The sequence below is a fragment of the Homo sapiens genome, chromosome 6, assembly GCF_000001405.40.
Source record: "Homo sapiens chromosome 6, GRCh38.p14 Primary Assembly".
Taxonomy (NCBI): Eukaryota; Metazoa; Chordata; class Mammalia; order Primates; family Hominidae; genus Homo; species Homo sapiens.
Window position 1 is genome coordinate 105,309,752 of NC_000006.12, and position 12,480 is coordinate 105,322,231.

The 12,480-nt window shown below is 40.6% G+C and overlaps 1 protein-coding gene across 2 annotated transcripts in view; it reads right to left on the bottom strand.

Moving 5' to 3' along the window:
- Positions 1 to 12,480, bottom strand: part of PREP (prolyl endopeptidase) — a 129,865-nt gene that overhangs the window by 36,534 nt on the left and 80,851 nt on the right. The window contains exon 11 of one of the 2 annotated variants that reach the window (XM_011535925.4): positions 4,881 to 6,838. The exons of the other annotated variant lie outside the window; for it this stretch is intronic. Within the exon in view, the coding sequence (XP_011534227.1) occupies positions 6,677 to 6,838 (162 nt within the window). The 3' untranslated portion in view covers positions 4,881 to 6,676. Of the gene's footprint in view, positions 1 to 4,880; positions 6,839 to 12,480 lie in introns of those variants that run through there. 2 annotated transcript variants of the gene reach the window in all.

The window sequence follows — 12,480 nt, forward strand, 5'->3', positions numbered from 1 at the left end:
AGAAAACGCTCCTTCTCCTTTGAAGGCCAATCCTTCTTCTTATGGCTGTGGCTCTCTTCCCCTTCTCAAGGGAACTTGTTTCTGAGTGATTCTCTCCCTCTAGAACCAAACTATCAATGCACCAAGGCAATCTAGTTTCTCTCACTTAACATGCCATTGAACTCATATGCCCCATGCAACTTTTCATTGTCTGGAGCCCATTTTCTTCCCCTCTCCTACCTTCTCCCGGGTCCTGAACTTAATGACACAAAAGCTATGGAAAGCCTTGTTGGTAAAGTTTTATGTAATTAAGATTGATTTTTTTATAGGTTTTCTTAGCACAGCTGTACAAGTTATTCTAAAGGAAGAAAACATCAAATTTGAAAAGTAATCGGAAGAAGAGAGAGAGTGGGAAGATGTAAACCACAGCTGTTAAAAGTCAGAGATGCGTGATTAACGTAGCCAGGGATTGTATTTTTCTTAAAAAATTTAAATATTTTTAATAAGCTTTTCACATCATACCATTAATACAAGATTATTTTAACTAGCAAAAATGCAATACAAAAATATGTAAAAGCATAGCTAATTCTCCCCATCTTCAATCACACCCATCCATAAAGAAACCTGTGATAAGAGCGTCTATCTCCTCCTCTCTTGTCTTTCCTGATACACCCTGTTCAGCCCTCATCAGCCCTACTACTCACTGAAAGTGCTCTTATCAATATCACCAATAATCCACCTTGTCAAATCCAGTAACTCCTCTTCCTTCCTCATTTGCCCAACCATCAGCACTGGGTGTTGCCTGCCACTCCCTCCTTTTAATCCCTTTTCGTGGACTTCCTGCTCTGCCTGGTGAGGTCTCTGTTGGTTCAGCTCTCACCTCCCTGGCTGCTGCTTCTCAGGCTCCTTTGCTAGCTCTTCCTCCTTCAACTGACCCCCCTAGATGTGGGGCTGCCCCAGGCATAGTCCTGAGCCTTCTCCACTCTTTATATGCTCTGCATGTGACTTTGCCCTTGTCCCTGGATTTAAGTAACATATTTATGCTGAAGATTCCCACTTAAAACTCTAACTCAGATCTCTCCTTTGAGCATGAGACTCAAATATCTAACTCCCTATTTGACACTGCCACTTGGATGATATTTAACATGTACCACAAACTTAACACGTCCAAAATATTTATCCTCCTAATCTCATCCTACACAACCCACTGCCAACTCACTGATAAATGGTACCAGTTTCTCAGATTCAAAATCTCAGTCATTCCTCAGGCATCCTTTTTTCTCAGCCTTCCAACATGCAATCCCTTAGTGTGTCTTCGCAATTCTACCTTCTAGGTATATTCCAAACTCACCAGCCCACCTTGTCCACAGTCACCACTCTAGCCTGGGCCACCTTATCTCTTATCTGGTCTACTGCTACCAATGTCCATCTGCTCTCTCTGCTTCCTTATCACCCCCTCTAATCTGTTCTTCACAAAACGGAAAATGATTTTCTTACATCAAAACCATGTCTCTCTCCAGTATAAAACTCTGCAGTGACTCCCATCACACTTGGAATGAATCTGACATTCCCTAACACGGCCATGAGGCTCTCTGCCTTCCCCCTGCCCTTCATCCACTCCCCCCTTACTCACTGGGCTTCTCTTAGGTCCTCTCTGAGACCAAGTGCTTTGTTCTCAGGGCCTTTGCTTTAACGTTCTGGGCCGCCTGTCCCCCATTTTCACTTGGTTAGCTCCCGCTGAGCCTTTAGGTTTCAAGTGAAAACTCAGGGGAACTTCCCGTGACCACTCCAACTGCACAGGGCCTTCTGCCATTCTCGGCTGCAGTCTTTGTTTATTTCATGCACAGCTCTTCTCCCAACTTGCAATGCTGACATTTATTTTCTGTTCACTTGTTTTTGCCTGTATTTCTCATAAGGGCAAAGACAACATCTCTTCACGTCGCTGCTACATTCCCAGTGTTTACAACAATGCTTGGCACATGGCAAATTCTCAATAAAAACAAACTGACGGGATGAATGAAAGGGGTTCTTCCCCATCCCACCTCCACCCATCAATGCTGACAGAGAATTTCTGATGAAGGCAAGGAAAGGCAGCCATACATAGACATAAATGAATTGTAAATCCAAACAGGTGAGCTTTAGGAATCCCAGAACACTCCTTCGTTGCTCTTATTTCTAAGGATTCTGAGCAATGGTGTCAAAGCATTTCCAAACACAATCAAATCTGCAGATTCTTAAACAACATGCCATCCACAGTTCAGATTATACTCTTTCTAAGTCTCTTCCAAATACTTAAATTAGCTATATACATATTAAATTCTGGAATTGAATTAGATATATCCTAGGCAAAACAGAAAACTTGAGGCTCCAGATGTAGGTAGCACATATATAATGATTTTTTACTTGCAGGCTAAATGATTTTCTATTTGAAAGCCAATTTCACAATCACCCTCTACCTGAACTGAGATCAAAAAAGCATGCTGTTTAAAGACATGCTTGTATGCATATATTAATGTTTATGGCTACTTCTATACAGGCATATGTATACAAATGTACACACATAGAGGCTAGGAGGAAACAAAGAGTCATCTATTACTTGATTCAGAACTAACTGGTAGATGCTCTTAAAGACAGAATTAAAATGGGCTGCATTTGTCAATTCAGCCTGAGAAGATGGTTTAAATTTTTCTTTTGAGACATGAACCAACATAAATGATGAAGCTTTCTCTAGTGTCTTAACAAAGCCACAGTGTTTTATATCAATTTCTGCATGAAGACCCAGAACTAACTACCTCAGAGTACTCAACTGTTTAATTGTGACAGCCTGATCAGAGAAGCCAGCACCACTTCTCAGGGCAATTCAACTTTGAAGCAATGAGTTTATGTACGAAGAACATGAGCACACATCCATGCTGTATTTTCAACTAACAGCTGAATGTCCTCTTTCCCCGTCTTCTGCTTTACACTGAGCTCCCAGGGGCAGGAGCAAGAAGACAAGCTTCTACAGGACAGTTGGCGTTTGGATGAATATTGAAAGATGTGTGGAATTTCAGAAAATAGTAAAGAAAAATGAGCAGAACCAGGATGGGTCATGGAGAAACGAGGCAGAGGTGAGTCTGAGTATGGTGGTCCGGGGCTACGGGGCGGCACTGGGGCGCGGCTGTATGAAGAAGAGCATCAAAAGTTGTGTGGAGGAGCATGTACCCAACACAGACAATGACAAGGAACTTGCATGTGTTTCTATGAGGTACCCTCACAATGCCTTCCACTTCACAATATTTTACTACCATTTTTATAACTATGACAACATTTCTGTCTATATCTTACATTGAGTCAGCACAGAGGGTGAACAGAGAATAATCCAGTCTACCTCCCTAAAACCAGGTCAAGGTACACTTAATCCAAATCAAAAGACTACACTTGTGGAGATGGAAATTTTTTCCTCCCTCCTTCACAGACCAATGACAGTAATGCCAGTAATGGTTTTTCCTTTAGGGAGATAATGGAATATCCCCAGCACTGGGTCTATTTTTACTCACCCATCACCCGTCGACCATCAGTGTAACTCCAGGCAAAGCAAGTGGAGGGGAGGGGAGGGAAGAAATCTGTGTAGCAGGTGGACAGCCCACACGAAGCTCCTATTGTCTCTCCTCTCCTTTTGTTCTAAAACAGTATGGCAGAAAGCCAAAAACAGTTGAGTTTTGCTGGCAAACTAAAATGTTGCCCCGGGGGTTTAAGAAAAGCAGGAAAAGATTACCCCCAACTCTTTTCTGCCAAGCCTTCTCTAGGCAGAGCAAATCTAAACAATGATCACAGTTGTGTTTCTAGATGGCCTGCTAATCCTATTAATTGTCTACCATCACCTATTAGGGAGGCAGAAATAGGGTGAGAGACACTGGGACAGATGTAACCCTGCAGGTAGAAAAATCACCTGCTTTTATGAGTACAGAAGTGGCCATCCAGACTCACCGCACAAGGGGCAGAGGTCTTGGGCTACAATTTCCAAAACAGATCTGTGAATATTCTTCTGAATTTGAGTTAGAAGGTGGCTGGTGCCAGCGTTGGCATGAATGCCAATCCCTGAATATGATCCTGAGAGAAGTCAACCAGAGATAAGATGACAAAAGCAAAAGAGTAAATAAAGTTTTATTTTATTTCTGAATATATTTCAAGTGGGGGTTCAAGCTGCCACATGGTGACCAACACTAAGACTTAAATAAAAATCTAAGTGTGTGTCTATACAGGCACACCTCATAGATACTGTAGCTCAGGTCCAGGCCACTATAATAGAGCAAGTATCAAAAAAGAAGAAAGTCACACCCACTTCTGGTTTCCCAGTACATATAAAAGCTGTTTACACTAGTGTACAAAGCAATAGCATTATGTCTTAAAAAAAAGTACCTACCTTAATTTAAAAACACTTTATTGCTATAAAATGCTAATGATCATCTGGGTCTTCAGTGAGTTGTAATCTTTTTTCTGGTGGAGGGGTATCTTGCCTCAATGTTGATGACTGCTGATGATTGGGATGGTGGTTGCTGAAGGATGGGGTTGCTGTGGCAATTTCTTAAAACAACAATGAAGTTTGCCCACTGGTTGACTCCTCCTTTCATGAAAGACTTCTGTAACATGCAATGCTGTTTGATAGCATTTTGCTCACAGTAGAATTTCTTTCAAAACTGGTGTGAAGCCTCTCAAGCCCTGCCACTGATTTATCAACAAAGTTTATGGAATATTCTAAATTCTTTGTTGTCATTTCAACAATGTTCACAGCATCTCCAGCAGGAATAGATTCCATCTCAAGAAACCAATTTCTTTGCTCATTCACAAGAAGGCAACTCCTCATCCATTCAAATTTGGTCATTAGATTGCAGCAATTCAGTCACATCTTCAGACTCTACTTCTAATTCTAGATCTCTTGCTATTTCCACATCTGCAGTGACTTCCCCCATAGAGGTCCTGAATCCCTCAAAGTCATTCCTGAAGGGTGGAATCAACCTCTTCCAAACTCATGTTAATGTTGATATTTTGACCTCCTCCCATGAATCATAAATGTTCCTCATGGCATCTAGAATGGTGAATCCTGTCCAGAAGGGTTTCAATTTACTCTGCCCAGATCCATCCATTTGTAAGGCAACTACAGCCTTACAAATGTAGTCAAAATTACTCCTTCATCCATGGGCTGCAGAATGGATATTGTGTTAGCAGGTATAAACACAACATTCATCTCTTTGTACAGCTCCATCAGAGCTCTTGGGTGACTAGGTGCATTGTCAATGAGCAGTAAATATTTGGAAAGGAATTGTTCTAAGCAGTAGGTCTCAACAGTGTGCTTAACAGATTCAGTAAACCACTGTAAGCAGATGTGCTGTCATCCAGGCCATTTCTAGAGCACACGCAGAGTGAATTTAGCACAATTCTTTTTTTGTTTGTTTTTTCGTTTCTGTTGAAGAGACAAAGTCTTGCTCTGTCGCCCAGGCTGGAGTGCACTGGTGCAATCATGGCTCACTGAAGCCTTGAACCCCTGAGCTCAAGTGATCCTCCTGTCTCAGCCTCTTGAGAAGCTAGAACTACAGGCACATGCCACCATGCTTGGCTAATTTTTAAATTTTTTGTAGATAAATTTTGTATGGGATTGCACCACATTGCCAGGCTCATCTTGAGCTCCTGGCCCGAGAGTTCCTACTGCCTTGGTCTCCTAAAGCATTGGGATGACAGGCATGAGTCACTGTGCCCAGCTAATTTAGCACAATTCTTAAGGGCCCTAGGATTTTAAGAATGGTAAATGTGCACTAGCTTCAACTTAAAATCACCAGCTGCATTAGCCCCTAATAGAATCAACCTGTCCTTTGGAACTTTGGAACTTTGAAACTTTGGAACTTTGAAGCCAGGCAGACTTCTCTTTAGCTATGAAAGTCCTAGATGACATCTTCTTCCAACAGAAGGCTGTTCTGCCTATATTGAAAATGTTTTAGTACAGCCACCTTCATCAATTATTTTAGCTAGATCTTCAGGATAACTTGCTGCAGCTTCTACATCAGCACTTGCTGCTTCACCTTGAACTTTTATGTTGTGCAGATGGCTTCGTTCCTTAAACTTCATGAACCAACCTCTGCTAGCTCCCTAATGTTCTGCAGCTTTCTCATGTCTTTTAGTCTTCACAGAACTGAAGAAAGTTAGGGCTTTGCTATGGATTAGGCCTTGGCTTAAGGGAAGGTTGCAGCTGGTTTCATCTTCTATCCAGACCACTCAAACTTTCTCCATATCAGCAATAAGGCTGTTTTGCTTTCTTACCATTCATGTGTTCACTGGCATAGCACTTTTTATTTCTTTCAAGAACTTTTCCTTTGCATTCACAAGTTGGCTGTTTGGTGCAAGAGGCACCTATAGCTTTTGGCTTATTTTGGCTTTTGACATACCTTCCTCACTAAGCATAATAATTTCTAGCTTTTGATTTAAAGTGAGAGATGTGCATGTTTTCCTTGCATTTGAACATTTGGAGGCCACTGTAGGGTTATTATTTGGCCTAATTTTAACAGTGTTATGTCTCAGGGAATAGGGCGGTCTGACGAGAGGGAGAGAGATGAGGGTATAGCTGACGGATGGAGCAGTCAGAACACACACAGCATTTTTCAGTTAAGTTCACCACCTTCTATGAGCGCATTTGTGATGCCCCAGAACAATGACGATCGTCACATCAAAGCTCACTGTGATGTAATAATGAAAAAGCTTGAAACATTGTGAGAATTATCAAAATGTGACAGACACGAACTGAGCACATGCTGTTGGGAAAATGGTGGTAACAGACTTGTTCAACACAAGGTTGCTTCAAACCTTCAGTTTTTAAAAAACGAGGAATCTGCAAAGTACAATACAATAAAGCAAAATAAAACGAGTTATGCCTGTATGACATAAATAAACTAATGGAAAAGGCAGTAAAATCTCCATTAATATGTAACAAGGAGACTAGAAGTGAACATTAACATTCATTATAAAATATTTAGTATTTAAAACTATTTATAAAACAAGTCATTAAATAAATCATATTTACAAATCATAAAAATATAAATTTGTGGTCCCTCATTGTCTTCCCTTTTACACTGAGTATTGTTATCTAATAGGTTCTGTAAGGATCTACAAAGTAATCACAAGATACTTACATGGTGTAGAAACTATAGTTTTTAGAGGTAAGAAAGCTTAGGGATTTAGAGGCCATTTAGTCTAATTAATTTTTTTTTTTTTTTTTAGAGATAGGGTCTTGCTGGAGTGCAGTGGCACAATCATAGTTCACTGTAACCTTGAACTCCTGGGCTCAAATGATCATCCTGCCTCAGCCTCCTGAGTGGCTAGTACTACAGTTGTATACCACCGTGCCTGGCTAATTAAAAAAAAATATATATATTTTTTTGTAGAAATGGAGTCTTGCTATGTTACCCAGGCTGGTCTTGGACTTTTGGTCTCAAGTGATCTCCCTGCACCAGCCTCTCAAAGTGCTGGGATTCCAGCTATAAGGCACTGTGCCTGGCTAACATGTTTATTTAAGAGGTGAAAAAAAAATCCTGAGCTATAGCGAGAATAACTTATCTTGATAACAAAATGTGCAGGATTAGCATAGATCTGGAGTTGTAAGTTCTAGTCTTGGCTCTGTCAACTGTTAACAGTGTAACCTCTGTTAATACACTTACACTGACTGAATTTTAGTTTCCTTGTCTGTAAAATAAGAGGGCTCCATTAGATGAACTCTAATGTACGTGCAATTGGAAGGCATATAACTTGTCCTGAGGCCAGAATCATATTAGTGGAAAAACATACCACCTAGGAAAAAGCAAAGGAGGCAGCTATGAAATTAGGGACCTGATTACCTTTCTGTAGGTGGGTTCGTGCCATGCTTCCATTCCAAACACCAGGCCCAAGGATGGACTGTGTCCACATCCTGCTCAGGGACTGTGAAGGAGGGCAGTTGGGAGTTGGTCACCCCAGGCAAGATGCTGACTTAGCAGAGAATCAAACACCTGGAGAGCCATCTGGACACTAGCTTACACAGCTTCCTCACCGTGCCAGGCAATCCCTCAGAGTCCATCCTAATGCCCAAATATTCCCATACGCTTGCATCACGCTTCATGTTCTAGAAACAGTATTAAATTTCTTTCTCCAAGGGAGGAGTGCCTCCTTAACAGGTGCTTCTGTCTTTGTAGTATGTGATTTCTGCTGTCAACAATTACAGTATCTGAAAATTCTATTTTTTAGGAGCCTTCATTTTTCCAATCCTGATCCTGAGATTTAGGTACCTGGCCACCAGGTGGCATTTGGGTGCCCTGATCTCAGGGTCTACACCAAAAAGCTCTTGCCAAAGGCCTTTTTTTGCCTTGTGTGGCAGACTGCTAGTTGTCCCGCAATATCTATCTATTCCTCCTGTTTCCTTGATAAAAAGGCCCTAATTTTTAGCTAGTCACATTTTTTTTTTCTGGGAATAAAACTACATCTCAAAACCTCTTTGCAACCGAGTGTGAGTATGTTTTCACCAATAAGACATAAGCAGATAGAGGATGCAAGTCACTTCCTAACAAACATCTTTATAAGCCAGCTGACACATACCCATTCACCATATCATAGGTTATGTAGTCTCAGGTTGCTGCAGAGTAATGTCCTCTTTTAGACATGGTAGAGAATTTATGTACAGTGGAGCAGAGACTGCAGCAACTACAGACTTCAGCCACATAACTTACTTCTCTATTATAAGACAGCAAGAAAACAGACTTATCTTCCAGAGTCACACAGCTGGTATCCAGAGAAGGAGAAAGGGATACAAGTATGTACACTCTGAATATGAACACTACGCTCTCAAGCTAGAATGCCTGCATGATGGGGGAAATTCTAAAGTAAAATATGTTGCCATGAAGCGTAATATCAGAAATAACACAAATGCTCAGGCAATAAATCAGCAAGAACCGATACCAATTCAAGCAGTTTCCTAACCATATGAAAATAGAGTGACCCCTCAGAAAGTTTCTTTTTGAAAATGCTGCCCCATTCACTCTTCACTAAAACGTTCTGAAAATTTCTGACCTATACCCAATCACACGAACACGCTGCTATGGGAAGACACTGCCACTCGTTCACTAGTCAGCTCACCAAGGATGTGGATGAGTCAACACTCAAAAGCTGCATGTGTCATGAACTTGGCGCAGAAGTTAATGAGTATTGAAACACGAATTAATGTTCTGAAAATATGTTCTTTGAATGGCAAAGCCTATATGCTAGCAAGCACAAATCAGCTATCACTAAGATTAGAAAAATCTGAATTAAAGGGAAAAAAAATCCCACTCCCTCCACCCCAAGGCATGTTGGTAAAGCCAAAGATTCTTCTTACTTTAGCATTTTGGCTCGGCTGCAAAGCAAACCGCCTTAGGGATGTTACTGATGTTTCATATGTACTATAGCAGGTAATCCCCAGAAAAGCCAAATTCCTATTAAGTATAAGAGAACAACAGTAAAGATAATAAAATCAATGTTAACTACTTATAAAATCTTTATTATTTTTCCTTTGTATTAAGTTTGCTCCCCTTCTTAAAATATGAGTACTTGGATTCTCTTAATTTATACTGACTTTTATAAAATGTAGATGCTTGTTAATGGAGTTGATTCAGGGTATAGACTCAGTTAAGTGTTCTTTTCAGGTCTATAAATTTTGTCTTTCATTTTGCAAGAAGAAAAGCCAATCTCTAGCTGGCTGAACAATGATGAAACACTGAGGAATCAAAGTGTATTTTTGCTACATTAAATTCCTTTGTGACACCACATTCAACCACAGTACACTATTCCATCAACTGAGAAGTGCCCCAGGCAACCATCGCACAGGGTACTGAGAGTAGGATTATTATTTTCTTGAATTTACTGTAACAAAAAAGCAGAAGCAGTCTTTGAACAAAGGGCAGTGGTAAAATTGTTCAGGAATCTCAGTGGGGAACTGGGCATTAAAAAACACCCATTCCCTCAAAGCCCTGCCCAACTTCCATCCCTCCTGTGAAGGCTTCCTCCTTTACCCAAGCCAGGATGGCCTCTGACCACCACAGCACTGACCGAAGCCTGTGCCTTTCCCCTGACCACTGTGATAACATCCTTGGGTTCTTCAATCTTTTCACATCTGTATGTTTCAACTTTCTAGTCAGGGGCAGTGCTTATGTCTGGAATTTCTTTGTATTCAAACAGTACCTGGCGTTGCATATCATACTATGAATATTTATTGATAGGCAACATTTAACTATCATTTCCCTATTACTTCACTTTGTTTAAAATGAAACATATTGCTGACTGTAAATGTAGACAGATTTTTCAGGTAAATTCACTTACCACCAAATCTGTTTTACAAATATAATTTCTATGTTCAATATTTCAACTTCTTTTTAAAAGACAATGGCACACAAATTTTAATCAATATTACGTGGTTGTATCATTCACAATAAAAAGCAGGAAAAAGATGAATCAATTGCAGATTTGATAAACCTATCTAAAACTGAATTCTTATCTGTGTTCCAGATTGGAAGATAAACTGACAGTGTTTCTAGGATCAGATTTTCAAAACTGTATTTCTGGTACAGATCAATTTTCTACCCACAGCTATAATCAGGAATGGATGAAGGCTGTGTAGAGAGCAGCTCTGTTTTGTGTCTGTCTGTAAAATATGACACCAGATCCCTCACCTTCCCAGTCGAGATGCTCAGGGTCTTAAGGGAATATATTAACAGATCACACAAAGAGGAGCACTCTGTGGCTCATTTAGCCATGTTTCTTTGGCCCTTCTCCTTCTCCTTGGCTGGTCTATTTTATCAGCTACACCACCAGGTAGGCAGTGCCATTAAAAGAGGTTCTTGGTCATAGTGTTGACTAACCATGCACAGTAATCTGTGCTGCAGTATTCACATCAAAATGATAATATGCCTCACGGAATGAACAAAGAAATGAAACATAGCCTGGGAGATAAGATACTCTTTTCAAGTCACCTATGAGGTAAATACAAACCCCAGGGTCAAGTGGAATCAAAAGTAACATTATCCTAAAGTAATTGAAAATGAAAATAAAATGTAATAGAAGCAAAAATGTGGCTTCTATTACACACCTTTAGGATGCTTTCCATTCATCCACAAATCCCTCTCCAGAGTCTGCTTTTTACAATGGGAGGTCATTGTTGGCAACACTGCCAAGAGCCTAATCAAAATGTGAGAACATCTGTCACGCTCTCATTGCATGTCAAAGCTCTGCTGCACACATACACTTGAATCTAAACCACTGCACAACAGATTTTAAGCCATACAAGTCAATGATGTTGTGACATCATATTGTGCTTCAAAGGCACCTTTTACACAACGAAAGAATTCTATTTTAATAACAGTACTACGTGTATGAGGTATATAATCAGTAGATACAAATCTTCTATTGGCATTATACATACAGGCTATACCCTGTTTATGGGCAAAGTTGCATTTTCTAAATATGGAAATGAAGAGCAACGCATTAAGATCTGTACTATCCAGGTACTGTTTAAATATTTATCATGAGTCTTTTTATTCCTCCTATTACAGCAGTACAAATAAAAAACTGTAAGTATTTAAGAGGCTCAATGCCCGGAACTTTTGTTTGGGAAGTGGAGAGCCAGGTACAGGGAAATTCTGGGAGAGTTCCAGTGCCACAGGCACCTGGCAGCGCCGAAGCGCATGTTCTCCACGGTTTAACCTGGACATTCCAGGCTGCTATGTATGTGGCTGTTAGGTTTGTATTCCACAGAAGCACTTTCTTAGCTGCCATGTTTTATCTTTTCATTTGTAAATGAAAACAATATATATTAGGTGGTAACTAGCTTGTCATCTATAAAGAATATTACCATTATCAGAATAGGAAAAAAAAGCCATCTAATAGAGGAAACACCCCAATCATACTAAGCAGTAAGAGATATTTCCCTGGAAGAAGCGGCCTCCCTGGCAGTTGTCATTATTATAGGGGTCCTTCCCTTTCCCAGACTCCAAAGGCAATTATACACTTGGGTACTAAATGTCTGTGGGAAGTGGAAAAAAGGGGAAAACAGTATCTTTTTTTACACAGAGCTGAGCCCCCTCATAGACATGAGAAGATTAGGATCTCTCTCGTGCAACCCTACCCCGTCCTACCTAGGGCAGCTGAGAGTGTGCTCTTGAGAGCAGAGGAGAGAACACTTGCTGGGTGCTGCCTGGGTGTCCCTGACATTCCTGATAGGAGAGGCACACCTATCCTTGCTGGGGATACCCAGGCAAGGACCAGAACAAGGCCCTGAGAAAACCAAATGTCACAACTGATAGGGACACATTTTCTACAAATTAGAGGAAAAAAAAGAGCAAAGAATGCCAGACTAAAAGTGAACAGATGTTAGAAAATTGGTATAGGATGAGGGTGAATTTATGAACCATGAAAATACCAGACAGGGGCTACAGGCCCCTACAGGATCTCCCTCCAGGCAATGGCTCACCATGA